The sequence below is a fragment of the Homo sapiens genome, chromosome 9 (assembly GCF_000001405.40).
Source record: "Homo sapiens chromosome 9, GRCh38.p14 Primary Assembly".
Taxonomy (NCBI): domain Eukaryota; kingdom Metazoa; phylum Chordata; class Mammalia; order Primates; family Hominidae; genus Homo; species Homo sapiens.
The window spans coordinates 42345189-42364371 of NC_000009.12; the positions used below are offsets into that span (position 1 = coordinate 42345189).

Genomic DNA, 19183 nt, shown 5'->3' on the forward strand with positions numbered 1-19183 from the left:
CTGGTCTGGGATGTTTTCACTCCTAAGCTGGGTCTGCCTGCCCAGCGCAGTCAGGCCAAACACCCACACCAAGGTTTGCAGCAGGAGAAAAGAGGTGTTTATTTGCAGGGTGCCAAGCAAGGAGAATATAGCAGCTCCTGCTTTACACCTGACCTCCTGATGGCTTGCGAGTAAGAGTTTGTTTTGTTTTGTTTTGTTTGAGATGGAGTCTGGCTCTGCCACCCAGACTGGAGTGCAGTGGCGCGATCTCCGCTCACTGTAAGCTCCGCCTCCCGGGTTCACGCCATTCTCCTGCCTCAGCCTCCCGAGTAGCTGGGACTACAGGCGCCCGCCACCACGCCCAGCTAATTTTTTGTATTTTTAGTAGAGACGAGGTTTCACCGTGTTAGCCAGGATGGTCTCGATCTTCTGACCTCGTGATCCGCCCACCTCGGCCTCCCAAAGTGCTGGGATTACAGGCGTCAGCCACTGCGCCCGGCCACAAGTAAGGGTTTTAAAGGCAGGGGTAAATTTCAGGAAAACAGAAGTTACAACAAAATTGTGAACTGATACATTGGTTTGGCCTAAAAAGGTGGGATAGTTTGAAGTAGAAGATTACCGGTCATTGGTATATTCAAAGACTGTTTTGCAATTGATGAAAAAAGAGTTTGTTTAAACATTTGGGGTCAGCAGAAAAGATTATTAGCTCTGGCACGTGGGCACGGCTTCCTCCAGGTCCCTCAAGAATAAATTTAGAGCCAAGGACAAACGGAGTTCGGGGTTCAGTCCTCAGCTCCCCCTTATCTGTGTTCTACCCGCCAGCGGATCTGCTCGGTAGGGAGTCTGGGTTTCTGAAAAACAACTCAGGGACATATGTTAAAATGTTGCCTTTAGTTTCAAATATCTTATGGCTAGAACTTCCTTGGCTGTTGTTTTAAGCTGTGATTACTTTCTTGCTTATCAAGTTGCTTGCTTCTCAGGGTTAGCTAGGTGCCTGGAATTTCCCTTGAAGGAACTCAATATTTTCCTTTATTTCCATGCATGGGGGTGCAGGGTGGTGGAATGGAGGGGGTGCAGGCCCCAAGAGGGTTCCCTGCTCCATTTTAGGGACCGCACTTGTGAAACAATATCCTCTGAGTAGGAGATTCAATTTTTTCCCGTGACAATCTTAAGGTCTATTTCAACAAAGGGCCAGATAGTAAATTTACTTTTGTTCTAGAGGCTGTAATGTCTCTGTACAGCTGTTCAACTCAATCACAGGAAAGCAATCATAGATAAAATGTAAAAAAATGGGTATGGCCAAGGGCCGGGAGCAGTGGCTCACGCCTGTAATCCCAGCACTTTGGGAGGCCAGGGTGGGTGGATCACGAGGTCAGGAGATCGAGACCATCCTGGCTAACATGGTGAAACACTGTCTCTGCTAAAAATACAAAAGAATTAGCCAGGCGTGGTGGCGGGCGCCTGTAGTCTCAGCTACTCTGGAGGCTGAGGCAGGAGAATGGTGTGAACCTGGGAGGCGGAGCTTGCAGTGAGCCCAGATAGCGCCACTGCACTCCAGCCTGGGCAACAGAGCAAGACTCCATCTCAAAAAAAAAAAAAGAAAAAAAAATGGTTATGGCCAAGTTTAATTCTTTGGGCCATAGTTTACCAAACTCCTGATTTAGATGATTAGCAATAGTCCTACAAAGTCTGAACTCTGTATATCAAGGCAGTATATAATTAAATAACTGATTTTAATTACTATAGGACTTCAATGAAAGGAGAGAATGCTATCAGTTGAAATAGTTTTCTGAAGAGAAAATGGGGCCAGAGACTTCAGGAATCAGCAATATATTTACTGTCTGTTAAATTAATTGCCTTTTATTACGTGCTAATCAAGTTCTGCTTTATTTCATAGACAAGAGTGGTTTTGAATTAAGTAACTCTCAGACAATTGTTTCAGCAAATGATTTAGTTCTCATTTCCATGCTTACGTATAAGTTCTTTCACTCAAAAAAAAAAAGAGGAAATCTTTAATTTAGGAATAAATTACAGAGGATTCCTTCAAGTTTGATTTGTTTTCAAAGCCTAAATTTATAACTTTTATGTTGCCCTTGCCAATGATTATTTGCAGTTACAGTCTGTAGTTTCACATCATTAATAACTAGAAAGAAAAATGGGCTTTTTATTTGGCTTCAAAGTGGGTGATGAGTTTTGGAGCTTCATCTGCTTGCCGTGTTGCTATTGATGCCAATATATTTGCGACTTCCCACTTGCAATATCATTATCAACAGGTAGAGAAAGACATAATGGTTTCAATCTCCTTGCTGACAAACACTACATTTGTTAAATCACAGATTTAGCTAAAAAAAATGAAAGGAATATTCCCCGTTGGCTGTGAATTTATAAAAATTACTTTCTTTGACAGACAGTCCTCTGTTTCCTGTCTCAGGGAAAATACACAAAGTATAATGAACACCATGGAGGCATTTCCTAAACTTACATCTCATTATTCAATGCAGGGAGCACAGACTCTGAAGAGGGAAACCACAGGGGAAATTACACATACCATTTGTCAACTTACATTCCTTTAAGCAAAATGCACCAAATTAAGAATTCGGGATGATAGTTTTGCATTGCTGAGTACATTTGAAAATCATTTGAGGCCGGGTGCGGTGGCTCACGCCTGTAATCCCAGCACTTTGGAAGGCTGAGGAGGGTGGATAAACTGAGGTCAGGAGTTCGAGACCAGGCTGGCCAACATGGAGAAGTGATGGCGTGGTGGCCAGGCTTGGTGGCAGGCACCTGTAATCCCAGCTACTTGGGAGGCTGAGGCAGGAGAATCGCTTGAACCCAGGAGGAGGGGGTTGCAGTGAGCCAAGATCGTGCCATTGCACTCCAGCCTGGGAGATGGCCCAAGACTGTGTCTCAAAAAAAAAAAAAGAAAAGAAAAGAAAATCATCTGGATGCTGGTCAAAGCTTAAATGCTAAAAAGTTCTACCTCATGAGTTTGTTTTGCTGGTATGTGTGGAGTCCACCTCTATCTTTCTCAGACTCTCTCTCTTACTCTCTTACTCCCTCCCTCTTTCCTTCCTTCCTCCCTTTCTTCCACCCTCCCTCTGTCTCTTCCACCCTCCCTCCCTCTCTTCCTTCCTTCCTTCTTTCCTGTACATTCTCACCAGCTACAAACTTTGGACCCTCTTGACAAACGTTTTTGTGTCTTCCATGAGGATGATTACTACTAGCTTGTTGCTGATGGTAAGCCACATTTCCTGTCTCCATATTGAAGAAATGAAATGGCAGCTTGAAGGCAGCAGGACAGAGATTCGCTGCCAAACAACCAAATCAGCTGTAAATGCCTGTTGGTATGGAGGACAGAAGGGCTCCAGGCTGTACCATCATTGAGATGCAGGAATTCAAGTGAGTCTTCCGTATTTGAACTGGCCTGGAGTTGGTGCTTGGGAGTTGATGGCTACTTCTACATATAACTACACAAAGAACTGGCTTAATATTAATGCTCAAGTAAACGAGTCACTAAACAAACAAGAAAAACAAGACCAAACTATGAAATCTGTTGTTAAAAGTATATTAAAATTCAGATTGAAAATGATTGAAATCAATTATTAAATATGTTTCAAAAAAAGAAAGCATGCTACATCCATTTGGTTTGTTTTCATAGGTAATATCAAACTGCTAAATATCACCTTAATTCAGTCATTGATAAATGTGTGCAATGAGGTGTAGCCCACAAAGCCTTTAATCAGTGTGACCATTCCAATATCTCATGGCCTTTAATTTTGCTTCTGTTCGGTTATCAACATTGGATGTTATAACATCAGGTGGCATGATGTGTGACATTTGTCTGTCGTTCATTCATTCCATTATTTATTGAATGCCTATTACAGCACAGAATTTGACATGGGAGTGGGAGAGTAATCGTGAACAATACTAGTAAAATGCCTGCCCTCATGAGGATTATGTTCCTGTTGTCATGAAGTTGTCATCTACTTCTAGATGATAAACAAGAAACAAATAATCAAAATGCACTCAAAGAATAATAATAAGGGCTTGAGGAAGTTAAAGCACTTTAAGGAAGTTAAAAAAAAAAAACTAGTCATGGGGCAGTGGCTAATTGAGTGGTCAGGGAGGCCTCTTCACAGAGTTCACATTTTGCTGAAAACTAAAGAAGATCCAGCCTTGAGAAGATGTGGAAAAGGGAACAGCAAATGCAAAAGCCTGATAGAGGAAGAGCTTTGGATGGTGATATTTCAACAAGAACATCCTCAAGGCTGGAGCAGGGTGAACAGGAGGGAAACCAGTAGCATGTGGAATAGGATCAAATGAGCATTCAACTCTATTTTTCCAGGGATTGGAGAATCAGATAAGGCCCCCCATGTATGCTGTAAATAACCAAGACTGACTTTCTACATTAAAAGAGAGAGATGTGTCTTTCCTTTTGAATGTTAAAAACAGTTTAAAAGTCTTTACAAAATTACCAAAGACAAATAATATCACATATATCAAATTTATCCATTTGATTAATAATTTTTAAGATTTTGAAGATTAATAATTTTTAAAATTATTTTTATTTCATGATTTTGCATAAAAGTTGTGAGTGAAATAGATACTGTGATTGGAGAAAAGATAAGGAGACAATGTATATGTGTCTATTTGGCAGGGGGTGGGGACACGTCATAATATATATTTGGTATGCATCCTATCTAGTTTCTAATTAAAACCAAAATTGGCTGGGCGCGGTGACTCACGCCTGTAATCCCGGCACTTTGGGAGGCCGAGGCGGGCAGATCACGAGGTCAGGAGTTCAAGACCAGCCTGGCCAATATGGTGAAACCCTGTCTCTACCAAAAATACAAAAATTAGCTGGGCGTGGTGGTGGGCACCTGTAGTCCCAGCTACTCGGGAGGCTGAGGCAAGAGAATCACTTGAACCAGGGAGGCGGAGGTTGCAGTGAGCCAAAATCACGCCGCTGCACTTTAGCATAGGAGACAGAGCAAGACTCCGTCTCAAAAAAAAAAAACCAAAATTATAATATGACTCACCACAGCAACCCATTTACATCTTCTGTTACATGGCAACAAGGAACTAAATATTAATCATAAACCCCCAAAGACATTAATCCTAGGATGTAAAGTCACTCCCTAAATCGCTACGTCTTTAAGTTTCATGGGTCCACTCCTTGTCTATGGGTGATCTCTGTTGTAGAATTTGTCCCATCCCACTTCCTTGGGCTGCTTCCCTCAGTAAACTCACACATTCACTCTCTCCAATAAAATCAGAATAATGATGAAGTGGTACCACTTTCTTGCTTCATTGGCAAATAACTATGGAAGCTAAGTGTCTTGTTAAGAACTATATTAGCAGATCATAATGAGCCCTAGACTTGCTATCTCTTAAACATTGATGAAAGATAAGATGTAAAACTAGCAGTTGCTGACTTGCATTAATAAAGTGTTAAGAAGGGCGAGAGCCAAGGATTGCCACAGGGAGGAAATTAAGTAACCCGCTTACTGCATTTCCTTGGGCAACTGTAGATAAAATGTTTGGCTTGGGTAAAGAACTGTTAAAACCTTAAAATAAAATTTAATGACCCCATTTTTTAAAAACTTAATTTTTAATCAGGTTTTTAAACACAGTATAATTCCTTCAGTATGGCAGCTGTGCCATGGAGTTCACGCTATGTAATGTTTTTGTATTTAAAAAAATAGTTTGTACTTTAAAAAAATACATAGCTGTATTGACATATAGTTTATATAATGTACATTTTATCCATCTAAAAGTAAAATTCAGCCTCCCAAGTACCTGGGATTACAGGCACCTACCACCATGCCTAGCTAATTTTTAGCTAGCTAATTTTTTAGCTAGCTAATTTTTAGCTAGTATTTTTAGTAGAGACAGGGTTTTGCCATGTTGGCCAGACTTGTCTCGAACTCCTGACCTCAAGTGATCTGCCCATCTCAGCCTCCCAAAGTGCTGGGATTACAGGTGTGAGCCACCATGCCCAGCCTTTTTTGTGGTTTTGATTTATATTGTTCTAATGACAAATAATGTTGATCATCTTCCTATGAGCACACAGGCCAATCTTTGGAAAAATCTTTAGTCACATTTATTGCTCATTTTTAAACTAGGTTATTTGTCTTTTTATTATTGAGTGGTAAGTGTTCTTTATACATTCTGGATATAATATCTTATCAGATATATGATTTGCAAATATTTTCTCTCATTCTGTGTGTCGTCTTTTCAGTTTCTTGGTAGCATCTTTGGAACTACAAAAATTCTGGCCAGGCACAGTGGCTGAGGCCTGTAATCCTAGCATTTAGGGGGGCCGAGGTGGGCAGATCACCTGATGTCAGGGGTTCAAGACAAGCCTGGCCAACATGGCGAAACCCCGTCTCTACTAAAAATACAAAAATTAACCTGGTGTGGTGGCGCATACCTGTAATCCCAGCTACTGGGGAGGCTGAGGCACGAGAATTGCTTGAACCCAGGAGGCAGAGATTGCAGAGAGCCAAGATCACACCACTGCACTCTAGCCCGGGTGACAGAGTAAGACTCCACCTCAAAAAAAATTTTTTTTTTCTTTAAAAAAAAATTCAATTGACAAATAATGACTGTGTGTATTTATGGGATACAATGTGATATATTCATATATGTATAAATTATAGGAAGTCCAACTTATCTATTTTCTTCTTTTGTTGCTTGTGCTTTTGGTGTCATATCTAAGAAAGCTAAAGTCAAGAAGATTTTTTTCCCCTATGCTCTCTTCTAAGAGTTTTATAATTTTATCTATTAAATTTTAGTATATATTTTTGAGGTAACTTTTTGTATAAAATATGAAGAAAGGGTCCAGTTTCAGTCGTTAGCATGTGACATCCAGTTTTCCCAACACCATTTGTTGAAAAGACTATTATTTCCATTGAACAGCCTTGGCATTCTGGTTGAAAATCAACTATTAATGTAAACATTGATTTCTAGACTCTTAGCTGTATCCCATTGGTCTATATGTGTATCCTTATGCCAGTACAAGTCTGTAATTATTACTATAGCTTTGTAGTAAATTTTGAAATAGAGAAGTGTGCATACTCCATATTTGCTCTTCACTTTTGAGATTACTTTGACTATCAGGAGTCCCTTGCATTTCCACATGAATTTTTGGATGGGCTTGTCAATTTCCACAGAAAAGGCTGTTGAGATTTCTATAGAGACATGGTGACTGTATATCAATTTGGAAAGCCATCTTAATAATGTCTCCCAATCTCTGAACATTGGTGTCTTGTCATTTATTTACTCCTTTTTTTTTTTACCTTCTTTCAAGTATGTTTTGTAGTTTTAGGGTATAACTTTTGCTCTTTTTGAATAATTAATTTCTAAGCATTTTCTTTTTTGATGCAATTATCAATGGAATTGTCTTAATTTGAAGTGTTCATTGCTAGAGTAGAGAAATACAATTTTTTTTTTAATTTAAAGGAGTTTAATTGAGCAACAAACAGTTCAAGAATCGGGCAGCCTTCCCAGGCAGAGTAGGCTCGGACACTCCAGCACAGTCATGCGGTGGAAGGTTTATGGACAGAAAATGGAAGTGAGGTACAGAAACAGCTGGGTTTGGCTGCAGCTTGGCATTTGCCTTATCTGAACATGGTTTGAACAGTTGGCTACATTTGATTGGCCAAAACTCAGTGATTGGCACAAGTGTAGTCTGTTTACACCTCCACTTGTCACAATATACAGACAAACTTTTAGGCCAAACTTAAATATATAAGGAGGCGGCTTTAGGCTAAACTTGATTTCAACACCTGTATTCCAACACTTTGGGAGGCCGAGGCGGGAGGATCACTTGAGCCTAGAAGTTAGAGGTCAGCCCAAGCAACATAGTGAGACCTTGTCTCTGCGAAAATAAATTAGCCAGGCATGGTAGCATGTACCTGTAGTCCCAGCTTATCAGGAGACTGAGGCCAGAGGATCATTTGAGCCCAGGAGTTCAAGGTTGTAGTGAGCTACAAGTGCGCCACTGCACTCCTGGGCAACAGAGCAAGACCCTACCTCAAAAAGAAAAAAATAATGACATAAGCAATTACGTGGAAATAAGGTCATACCTGTCAAAGTAATCAGCTGAAAGCAGTTGCCTCTGAGGTGCAGGAAAGGGGGAAAGTGGAGATAAGGGAACTACTTTTCTTTAAAAAAAAAAGATAAAACTAACACTTCAAGCCAGGCAAAGTGGCTCACACCTGTAATCCCAGCACTTTGGGAGGCCAAAGCGGGTGGATCACCTGAGGTCAGGGGTTCGAGACCAGCCTGACTAACATGGTGAAACCCTGTCTCTACTAAAAATACAAAAATTAGCTGGGCACAATGGCGGGCGCCTGTAATCACAGCTACTCGGGTGGCTGAGGCAGGAGAATTGCTTGAACCTGGGAGACAGAGGATGCAGTGAGCCGAGATTGCACCATTGCATTCCAGCCTGGGTGACAGAGCGAGACTCTGTCTCAAAAAAAAAAAAAACAAAACAAAACAAAAAAAAAAAACCTAACACTTCATTACCTCTGAATGGACATTAAAAAATATTTTAATAAATAAAAAAAGATTTAATACTTCAAACTATGGGCACACAAAACCTTGATAAAAATAAAAACAAATTTAGAAATCTATTAATAGGACAGCATGTTGAGAGACTTTAAAGGAGTTTTTTTTTAAGTATTTTTAAAATAATCTCAAATTTATAGAAGTCTTGGAATTAAAGTACAAAGAACTTTTGTTTTGCTAAATGATTTGAAAGTTCCTGACCTGACTCCCTATAACCCCTACATACTGTATGTCTTCTATAAACAAGGACTGAATGCAATAAAATTGTAATATAGCTAGCAAAATCAGGAAATCAACATTAATAGATTTCTACCATCCAACCAACAGATCTATTCAAGTTTTGCCAAGTCAGGATCCAGTTCAGAATCACCACTGCACTTATTTCTCACGTCTCTTTCATCTTCAGTCTGGAACAGTTCTTCAGTCTTTCCTTAACTTTCATGACTTTACACTTCTATTACAGGCCAATTATTTTGTAGAATTTTCCTTAATTTGAATTTGTTGCTTTAGGATTAGATTCCAATTATGTATTATTGGCAGGAGCATCATAGAAGTGATGCTGTGTTCTTCTTGCTAGACTATCAGGAGGCACACGATTGCAATTTGTCCTATTACTGAGGATGTTCATTTTGGTTACTTGATTAAGGTGGCGCCTGCCAGATTTTTCCACTGTGAAGTGACTTCCTTTTGTAACTAATGAATAATTTGTGAAGAGCTGCTTTGAAATGATGTAAATATCTGTTGATTTGAAAATACAACAAAATTATACTATGAATTGAATAATACATCTAAATTAATTTGCATTTTATCAATGACAACCAGATCCACATACTTTTGTAAAACAGTTGCTGGTGTGTGTGCGCAACAGGTTGTTGACTTAGGCAATGTGTGGAATGTTCTGGATTCCTAGACCCCGGGCAGTAGCTCCAAGACAGTTTTGAACTTTCAAGTAAGACAAACTTAGTTTTGATTTCCAGCTGTACACTTAGAAGCTATGGATGGTAGATTCTTTGTTGGGGAAAATGGCAGCAATTCTCACTCCCTGTGTCTACCCCTTTGGTTGTCCCCTTCCATACCGGCTGGCCATGCCCTTGTGACCTGCTTTGGCCAATGGGAGAATAGCAAATATGACATAAGTGAGACATGGGAAGTTCTTGTGTTGCTGCCCTTATGCTGCTTTTGAAACTCAACCCCTATGTTCAAGCTCTCCTGGATAATGAGACTTGTGGTCACATTCCCATCACCCAGCTGACGATGAGCTCCTCCTGTCCCTAAAATATGAGGCCCCTTAGCCATCCAGCCCCCATCCAGTTATTGAGAAACAAGTATTACCTGTTTGAAATCATAAACGGGTGGTTTATGATGCAGCAAAAACTAACTTACATACAACATGACCTCATGTGGGTTTCTTAATTTCTCTCAGTCTCAGCTTTCTCATCTATAGGATGGAGATAAGGCAATCAACCTCGCTATTTAGAGGATTAAATGAGAAAATATATGCAAAGTGCTTGGCATAGCATAAATACTCAACACATATGGTAATTTTTTAAAAACCCTCTATATTAGTCCCTTTTAATTAAAATTTTAATTAAAACAAAAGAAAAACAAAACAAAACAAAAACCTCTGCTGGGTGGACGAGGGGCAGCCCTCAGGCTAGATGCACTGATTTAGTACTTTTAATAGTGGCAGGAGTCAGACAAGCCCCTAGGCAGATAGTGGCATGTCCCCAACGAAATCCAACTTTCAAACCGAAGGCAGTTTAAAGCCCGAAAGCTAAGCTACAAGTCTTGGATAAATCCATGGACTGAGCTGAGAACATCTCTTCCTGTTGGTGCACTTTCCTCTGACTGATCCCCACCCTTCACTTACTTTACATATATCTACCCTTCCCTAGGTGGTTTTCTACACTGTCATGCCACCTTTGAATGGTTCCTTTGTTTTAGCCTTTTTTGTATACTCGTAAACCAATCAGCATGCAGTCCCCACTTCTGAGCCCATAAAAGCCCCGGACCCAGCCACGCTGGGAGAGAGACCACCCGACTTCAGGTCAGGGACCACCCTCGCATCCCCTCTCCGCTGAGAGCTGTTTCATTGCTTCATAAAACTCTTCTCTGCCCTTTTCACCCTTCCATTGTCAGCAAAGGGTACGAAGAAGGCAGTAACACCATAGCCCTCCACCCCTCCCCCACTACCTGTGCCCAGTGGCAGCCCCTTGCCATGAGAGGCAGTGCAGGGCCAGGCCAGCCAGGGAGCCTCCAGCAGGAGCAGGCAACAGGACTGACAGAGTTGTTAACACACCCCCCATTCATTGTTAACATGCCCGTTTGTCAGGCTGCTGACGGTGGGACTAAAAGAGCTGTTAGCATGGCTGTAACATCCCCTCTGGGGCTTCAGAGTCGAGTGCTTTCCTGTTTGGGTGCCACCAAGTTCCCTTCATCTGCATGCCAGAGTTCACCCCCGGAGTCACTTCCGACAGGCCTGATCCAGCTGCAGGCCCCAAAGGGAGCCCGCTCCTGCGCCAGCACTTGGAGTTGCTGGCAAGATGAGGCACTCACTTGATCACACACCCCCTCCTACTGGGGCTGAGCATGCAGTCTCGGTGGCTGCAGGATCCCCACCAGAGTGCAAGCCCAAGTGGGCAGGGCACCTCCTGCCTGGGGCAGAGCTAGGCATGGGCAGGGGCATCGTCAGCCAGAAGTCTGCAGTTGGAAAAGTGTCCGAGAAAAATCCTGCGTCACTTTGGAAGCAGTCTTCCTATCCTAGAATGCCAGAGGGCAAGCATCTGAAAGATCTGGAAGGATGAGGCAGCAAAGGCCAAGATGTGAATGTACACTGCCCCTGTCAGAGGTGATCGAACCAGAGTGATTCCATCTTGAATAGGGGCTGGGTAAAATAAGGCTGAGACCTGTGAGGCTGCATTCCCACTAGCTTAGGCATTCTAAGTCAGGATGAGATAGAAAGTCCGCACAAGATACAGGTCACAAAGACCTTGCTGATAAAACAGGATGCAGTAAAGGAGCCAGCCAAAACCAAGATGGTGACGAAAGTGACCTCTGGTCATCCTCACTGCTCATTATATGCTAATTATAATGTATTTCCATGCTAAATGACACTCCTGCCAGTGCCAGGACAGTCTACAAATGCCATGGCAACATCAGGAAGTTACCCTATAGGGTCTAAAAAGGGTAGGAACCCTCAGTTGCAGGAATTGCCCACCCCTTTCCCGGAAAACTCATGAATAATCCACGCTTTGTTTAGCATATGATCAAGAAATAACTGTAAGTATAGTCAGTCGAGCAGCTCCTGCCGCTGCTCTGCCTATGGAGTAACCATTCTTTCATTCCTTTATTTTCTTAATAAGCTTGCTTTCACTTTATGGACTTGCCCCAAATTCCTTCTTGCAGGAGGTCCAAGAACCCTCTCTTAGGGTCTGGATAGGGACCCTTTTCCAGTAACATCCCCATCACAGCCCTAATCACTAGGGGACCCTCTAGGCTCTTCCTGCCCTCCCCAGGCTGTCTCCCTTAAACATGCTGGATGCAGGGGTGCATCAGTGACTCCGCTGGTGCCTCCAGGAAAATAAAGTGTGGACCTCTGTGGACAAGAAACAACCCAAAGTAAAGACGACTCCTCACAGGCAGGATGGATATCCAGTTGTATGTATGTCGGTGTGCTGGGGCCGGGAGGCTCCTAATAACAATGTTACCGCTGCTTCACGTGGAAGAAAGCTGAGGCTCAGAGAGATTAAGGAACTTGTCCAGGGCCATACCGGAGTCCAGGCCTGTGTGCTGTCATGGTCTGAGGTTTGAACTCCAACAGTTTAAGGAGCTGGGATAGAACTGGGGAGGGAGTGTGGTGGGTGGGAACAGCGGGCAGATAGATTCTGGCTGGTCTCCGAGGGGCCTAGGTTCTGCCAGAGGGACAACAGGTGAGGAAAACAGGCCTCGGGGTGGATGAGTGAATCTTCAGAGGATAGGCGCAGACCCGGAGGGCCGTGAAAGGTGACAGGGTTATTACAGTCTTGGTTGCATAAGGGGGTAACTAGCGGTTTCTCGGCTGAAAAAGAGGAGGGGGGCTAGAGCTTCCCCCCTCCAACCGCGGAGCAAGCAGCCGCTCAGCAGGCTGCCACACAGGGTCCCCCACCTCCGCAGCTGGGGGACCTGAACTCGCCAATAGGAGGTTCCTCTTGCACGCGCGGCTTCACCCTCCCTCCAGGGCTCCCGTTGCATTTCACTCCCTGCCTAAGGTCGCCCGCCGGTGAGGGCGGAGGAGGAAGAACTGCAGCTCCTGAGGACAGAATCTGCTTCAAGGCACCCTGACCGGCGCCCAACCCCACCCCGGCTGCGGCCCGCCGCCCTGATCCCCATCGCGCTGCACGGTCTTCCCTTCCAACACCGAGGGCGCTGCAAGGACGCCCTGTCCCTGCCACTCATTCATATTAATGACTCCTCCCCCCATGCTTTCCTCAGGTGAGTTCGACCGCTCTGCCCAAAACATTTTCATCCCACACTCTTACGGCCACCTCTCCCCAAGTTCCCTTCTGTCTGGGCAAATCTTGTCCTTTACCCGGCACTGGGGTCGCTCCAGAGCTTTCAAACCAGCTTCCCCAGGGCGCTGTGCAGGGCCGGGCCCCTACAATTTTTGTATATTGATCTTGTACCTTGCCGTCAGGCTGAACTTGTTTATTAGTTCCAATAATTTTTTTTAGTGGCATTGTTGGGGTTTTCTATATAAAGGTAATGTCATCTGCAAGTAGAGCTAATTTTACCTCTTCCTTTCCAATCTGAATGACTTTACTTTATTATTCGTTTAATTATCTTATCTTGGCTAGAACCTCCAATACAATGGTAAATAAAAGAGGTAAATGTGCTGCAGTGAGCGCTTAAAGTTTTATGTTGCCTTAGCATCCATTTTTAAATATGTGTTTAACTTTCTCAAACCAGAAGCAGGGTTCAGTCACCCTTGATGCAGTTTCCTGCACTATACCCCCAAATGGCTCCAGGTGGTGACCAGAAATAAAAACCTGGAGGCATCTCTGTCTCCTAGCAGGATGGGCTCCCAGCTTTCCTGCTGCTTCCTCTAAACGACCATTTAAACACTTTTCAGTCACAATGTGACTTCCTAGTACTAGTGCCTGCTTGCTTTAAGCCCATCAATTTAAAGCTCCCTGTTTATATAATGCCCTGGACCCAATAAAGGCAATGACCTCCGTGTGTGTGTGTGTGTTTTCTAAGCATGCTGTGTGCCCTCCAGGGAACTTTCACACTGTGGTCATGTCATTGAAGCCACATCTGCAATCTGACCCATGCAAGTGGATCTCCTGCTGCTGTGCTTCTGTCTGGGTCTCTGGTGGCTGCAGAAACAATGGCTACAAGCTGAGCAGATAAAGAAACTCAGAGAGTTCATTCTAAACAAGTGAACAACCTCTTCTTCCTGATCTAAGGCAAAAAGCATTTAACCTTTCATCATTTATTTCTCCACAAGTGTGGCATGTCATCATTGCCACTCACTGACCCACACACTCATGGTTCATAGCCTGAGAAATAGTTTGCAAAGGCATATTTACCTTCATTGAAACCTTAGAAAACATTTATAAAGGCAGTTCAAAAATCAACCTTAAAATATGCCATAAAAAGACATAGAGAGGTAAGAAGATACTCATGAAATCAGTCATTGTCTCAAACATGAATAATTTTAGAGAAAGTGGATTGGGTCCTTCTTTCCCTGGTTCTCTTCCTTTTTTCTATTCTCTTCTGTGAGCAATAATCCTTTTGTCTGGCTTCTTCATTATTTCAAAGGAGAAAGTACAATACGAGCATGCATTCACCTATACTGTCAATTCCAGAAAAAAATAGCAGAGTTAAATATAAATGGACCTTAGTCATATTTAACCATTGCTCTCCTTGACAATCCAAAGCTTAATAAAGTACATCTCTTTCCATTTAGAAATTAATATATTCATACTCATACTATTAACCTACTAAAATAAAAAAGTAGATGGAAATAATATACATGGAGCTAAAGTCAATATTAAATAGTCCCAGACATATGGTTTGTGACTAATTATTAAACATAATATATGAATTCTTCTGGTGGGTTATACAATTTTAATTGGTTGATTAAAGGACCATTCTATTCTTCAAAGGAGATAATCGTGCTAAATTTTAAGAAAAATTACAGTGGAGGTATTCATCTATGTCTTTATAAAAATGTAATATAAAATGTTTATGCAAAGGAGGCCTGTGAGAGAGGGGAGGGTTAAGGGTTTAATAAGATATTTGGAGTAGTTTATCCCAGGACCACACATGTTCTGCTTTACCATCTGCAATCTCATTAGCTGTCCATGAAGATGCTGTGCCGAATGTAGACCTGAAATTTAGACCTAAGCGCTCACATATATGAAATATACATTGCTAGAGGAGCAAATAAACGAAGAAGAAAAACATTTTCTGATTTGTGGCTTCACTTTTGAACAATAACCAAAAATATTCTACATGCTCAAAGGAAAACAAAACTCATTTTATTCTTATGAGACCAAAGGATTTTATTCTTAGGAGACCAAAGGAATTGACAACAGAAGGTGAAATACAATGCAACCAGACTGGGAAATCTTTCTGCTTGGTTCAGCTGGGCCATGGACAATTTCAAAACGAAGCAATGTGAAAACAGCACATTAATGAATGGATAAAGAAACATGGAGAGAAGATACATTACTTTGGCTACCAGAGGTACAAATGCAAAAAGATTCTCCACTTTTGACTAGTAGAACTGATGATGGATTTAAAATCAGCTGCACATTGAGGGATTTTTGTTCAAGTGTAACATAAATTGTGCTACAATATGAGGATAAAATATGTTATTTTGGGCTATGTTTTAGTGCATAAACACTAACAACATTAATGAATGTTATAATAATTTACTTGAAAGATGTTTAATCTATTTGTAAATAGCTCTGTCACCTGCTGAATGGCTTTCATATGTTTCAAGTAATATTTAATTTCTAAAGAGTATCCTAGACTTTACTCTGAGGATTTATTATATTAACTCTCTCAAAGAGCCCTTATATTGTAAAGAGAGTGTTATCTAGAAAACAAACCTCCTGGGTGTCACACTTTGCTAGTTATGATATTGCTTAAGGTAAAATGGGAAAATTACAGCCCAAGGCTATTTCCCAGTTACCTCTGCTTAGGGACAATAACTGAATGACCCCACAGAAAACACATTAGGGTAGAAGGGGCCTGTTTTCCAGGAATTCCTGCTTCTTCATGTTAAGTACCCTCCCAACCAAGTGAAAGCAAAGACTTCTTAGTAGAAAGGCAAATTCAGCAAACTACTTTCCTTTTTTATCTGAGATAAAAATTAAGTGAGTCTTTGTGTTTTTGTGTATTTATGTTCTCAAGTTTTGCCCTTGTTTATTTTCTGTTCTTTATTAATGAATCAGTAGTTCCATTCTTGAGTTGTTTTGAATTATTTCACCTGGAAGGAGACAAATTTAAGAAGTCCTAGTAAGTAAGCATGAAAAGGGGACTTAAATAAGTGTCAGGAATCAAATGCACTGAGTCCTCGGGTGAGTGTTCAACCCCTGGGGACTGAGAAGTAATCCTTTCCACTGCATCTATTTTATTTCTCTTGAAGAAAATAAAAATCTAACAAAAGTGCTTAGCTATCCAAAATTATCAAATATTGAAAGAATGATTTTTTTTCCACATCAAACAAAATTTAGTTAAATGGTAGTTTCCACATAGGTATAAAATGTTGAACAGCATTAGAGATTAACCCTGTGAGGTAGGGGAGATAAAGAAAGGTTTAGTGGTGGTACAATTAGCTGAGGAGTCAAGAGAAATAGAAAACAAGAAATCTTCTATTTTGCCTTCTTTGGATCATGAATCCATTGTTATGTTTTATTTTTATTAAACAATTATTTCCCATGCTGGAAATGTGAAAGAGTTGAGCCATCCTAAGGAACTTAAGGTGTGACAATTTACAGAGAAGAATAGTTGTAACATTGCTCATTTACTCTGAGTATAAACATGAAAAATATTTTTAAAAACTACAGTGAAATAATTTATTCCACAGAGAAGTCATGGAGCTCTGTTACACATCATATTGTATACTAATAGCTTTGGGTGGGTGGTCTTCAGTTGATAGCACAGAAATGGAGTACGAATTTGCAGGGAAATGACACCAATTGAATTAGGCTTCAGTTTACCAGCTACTGATTCCTATTAACAGGGCATTTTGATGTGAGTCTCCACTAAGCACGTGAGTTAGAAAATAGCTCTAAAGACCATCCTTGATGGATCATTACTTTGAGATGCAAACCCCAGATTGCATTATTAAAACATCTTGGAATCAATTCTGTGCATTTCCAAATAAGCTCTGGCATGGATATGACCACATCATTAATACAGTTTACTTCTCTGGATCCTAGACTCTTTTTTTTTTTTTTTTTGAGATGGAATCTCACTCTGTGCCCAGGCTGAAGTACAGTGGTAGGATCTCAGCTCACTGCAAGCTCCGCCTCCCGGGTTCACGCCATTCTGCTGCCTCAGCCTCCCGAGTAACTGGGACTACAGGCACCTGCCACCACGCCTGGCTAATTTTTGTATTTTTAGTAGAGACGGGGTTTTGCCATGTTTGCCAAGCTGGTCTTGAACTCCTGGCCTCAGGTGATCCACCCACCTCGGCTTTGAGAACAAGAACACCATATCTGCTGGTCTCGAACTCTTGACACCTCAGGCGATCCACGGTCCTCAGCCTCCCAAAATCCTAGGATTACAGGCGTGAGCCACCGCACCCAGCCAAAAAAACTGATGCTATTTTCTACACACCTTGCACCTTATGGATGTGCCTACCAGAGATCTGGATTATAACCCTACCTTGTCACCATAAAAAATTCACTCCTATTGGACACTGACATGAAAGCCTTCTGTTACGTTTTGTGATTGAGCAGTTTTCTCTTACAGCTTATTTACAAGGGAAAGAGAAAGGAAACAAGAAATAGTTTCAAAAAAACAGCCAAAATTTCAGTAATCATTAAAATCAACACAATTAAATACTCTTTTTTTGGAATGAAATTTCGCTCTTGTTGCCCAGGCTGGAACGCAATGGCACAATCTCAGCTCACTGCAACCTGTGCCTCCCGGGTTCAAGCAATTCTGCCTCAGCCTCCTGAGTAGCTGGGATTGCAGGCGCCTGCCACCACGCCTGGCTAATTTTTGTATATTTAGTAGAGACGGGGTTTCACCATGTTGACCAGGCTGGTCTTGAACTTCTGACCTCAGGTGATCCACCCGCCTCGGTCTCCCAAAATGCTGGGATTACAGGCGTAAGCTACCACTGCCAGCAATTAAATACTCTTTTTAAAAGCCTTGAGGGAACCATGTAAAGATCTCAAAACTCTAAGATATTTTCACATCCTGTCCCCATATTCCAAGGTTAGGAAGATTGAGAAGGTATTCATTTACTATTAGTTATTTATTTTATTGTTATTTATATTAAAAATCTCAAGGCAAAATATTAGGTGATTATCCCAAAAGATTACATTAAAGCGTATTCCATAATTAAATGTACATTTCAAATTTAGAAGTTAGTTTTAAAAGCTCATCAGTTAAGGTCTGGAACATAAAAAACATTTCATAAAATTAAGGTTTCGGCCGGGGGTGGTGGCTCATGCCTGTAATCCCAGCACTTTGGGAGGCCGAGGTGGGTGGATCACGAGGTCAGGAGATCGAGACCATCCTGGCTAACACAGTGAAACCCCATCTCTACTAAAAATACAAAAAATTAGCTGGGTGTGGTTGCGGGTGCCTGTAGTTCCAGCTACTCGGGAGGCTGAGGCAGGAGAATGGCGTGAACCCGGGAGGCGGAGCTTGCAGTGAGCCGAGATCGCGCCACTGCACTCCAGCCTGGGTGACAGAGACTCCATCTCAAAAAGAAAAAAAAAAAATTAAGGTTTCACTGATCCTCTGTCCCAGCAGTTCTAATCCCAAGAGAATTAAAAAACATAGGTTCACATGAAAACTTACGATAGTTCAAGGCATCTTTATTTCTAACATCTAAACATCCCAGCTGTCCATCAATAAGAGAATGGGCTAACAAATGGTATACAATGGAACAGTACTCACAATAAAAAGAATCAACTTTTTTTTTGAAGGAGTCTCACTCTGTTGCCCAAGCTGAAGTGCAAGTGGTGAGATCTCGGCTCACTGCAAGCTCTGCCTCCGGGTTCAAGCGATTCTCCTGCCTCAGCCTCCAGAGTAGCTGGGATTACAGGTGCCCGCCACCACACCCAGCTAATTTTTGTATTTTTAGTAGAGACGGGGTTTCACCATGTTGGCCAGGATGTTCTCAAACTGCTGACCTCAAGTGATCCACGTACCTGGGCCTCCCAAAGTGCTGGGATTATAGGCGTGAAGCCACTGTGCCTGGCCAAGAATCAACTTACTGATAAACACAACAAGACAGCTGAATCGCAAATAATAGTATGCTGAGGGAAAGAAGCTTTTAACAAATGCCTACCTGCCTGCCCTCCTTCCTTTTCTTCTTTTATGTTTTTAACCTGGCTTAATTTTCTTGGCTTCATTATTTTAAGCAATTTTTGCAGTGTTGAAAAATTTGCAAGTA

The 19183-nt window shown here is 41.8% G+C and overlaps 1 annotated feature.

The window, feature by feature from the left end:
- Nucleotides 13551-14112: an enhancer, noted in NCBI's record as "NANOG hESC enhancer chr9:43452586-43453145 (GRCh37/hg19 assembly coordinates)". NCBI's record gives its function as "activates a minimal SCP1, AML or CMV promoter by ChIP-STARR-seq in primed H9 embryonic stem cells {active_cell/tissue: H9 hESC(primed)}" and the evidence as "EXISTENCE:reporter gene assay evidence [ECO:0000049][PMID:30033119]".